This window comes from Homo sapiens, chromosome 17 (assembly GCF_000001405.40).
Source record: "Homo sapiens chromosome 17, GRCh38.p14 Primary Assembly".
NCBI lineage: Eukaryota > Metazoa > Chordata > Mammalia > Primates > Hominidae > Homo > Homo sapiens.
The window spans coordinates 36,836,528-36,837,694 of NC_000017.11; the positions used below are offsets into that span (position 1 = coordinate 36,836,528).

General features: G+C 52.0%; 1 annotated feature.

The window, feature by feature from the left end:
• Positions 296 to 963: an enhancer, noted in NCBI's record as "H3K4me1 hESC enhancer chr17:35194089-35194756 (GRCh37/hg19 assembly coordinates)". NCBI's record gives its function as "activates a minimal SCP1, AML or CMV promoter by ChIP-STARR-seq in primed H9 embryonic stem cells {active_cell/tissue: H9 hESC(primed)}" and the evidence as "EXISTENCE:reporter gene assay evidence [ECO:0000049][PMID:30033119]".

Sequence of the window (1,167 nt, forward strand, 5' to 3'; positions counted from 1 at the left end):
CAGGGACCCAGCCCATCTCCAGCTGAACCTCCTTGTGCCCCTCCCTGTAGAAAGGCAGAGTGTGAGCTGGGCGCGGTGGCTCACGCCTGTAATCCCAGCACTTTGGGAGGCCAAGGCGGGTGGGGATCACCTGAGGTCAGGAGTTTGAGACCAGCCTGGCCAACGTGGTAAAACCCCATCTCTACTAAAAAAAATAAAAAATAAAAAATTAGCTGGGTGTGGTGGCACGTACCTGTAGTCCCAGCTACTCGGGAGGCTGAGGCAGGAGAATCTCTTGAACCCGGAAGGCAGAGGTTGCAGTGAGCCAAGATTGCCCCACTGCACTCCAGCCTGGGTGACAGAGTGAGACTCCATCTCAAAAAAAAAGAAAGGCAGAGTGTGGGTGGTCACCCCTGTCACACAGAGCTCCCAGCTGGAAGGAGAACTTCTCTGTGGTGCCCTGAGGAAGGAAAAGCAGAGACAGCAGCTGATGGAAACAGCCACAAGCCTGACATCAGGACCTCCCTTCACTTCCATTCTCTTGTTTGATCATCACAGCAATCTGAGGGTGTCAGCAGAGTGGGCACCACCACCCCATGTCACAGATGAAGAAACTGAGGATCAGCGAAGCTAAGGGCCTTACCTAAGGCCTCACAGATAAGGTGTGGCTGGGCCCACACCAGAAATGTCCTCTGTTCCAGTGCTGTTGAGAGGAACATCCATCTGCAGGCTTCCTCCCATGCCCACTGCCCTCAATCCCACTCCTGCACAGGCTCAACTCCCCTTGGCCATCAGGGCCCTGGCAGCAGGAGTGGCAGTCAAGACACGGCCAGGAGCAGAGAATCTCAGGGCAGCCGTGCCAGCTTCCCAGGCTGGGCTTCCCAACTTCTCCGCAAGTTTCCTGGGAAGAGTCCCCTGGAATGGGGCACCAGGAACGAACTTTATAAAATTCTCCACAACCAGCCAAGCAGAACCTATTTTCCCTCACAATGCAATTAACGGCACCAACATTTACAAAATATGATTACAAGCGCTTTGGTTAAGTAGAGGAAAGTATATTAGATAGCAGCGAGGGGTTGATCTTAATGTGCATTTTTTCGAGAGACTTGCATTTTCTTTGTGCAAATAAAGAGGCCCTAAATTCTCCATAGGCACTAAAATCAATGCAGTGGAACCATGATAACAAAC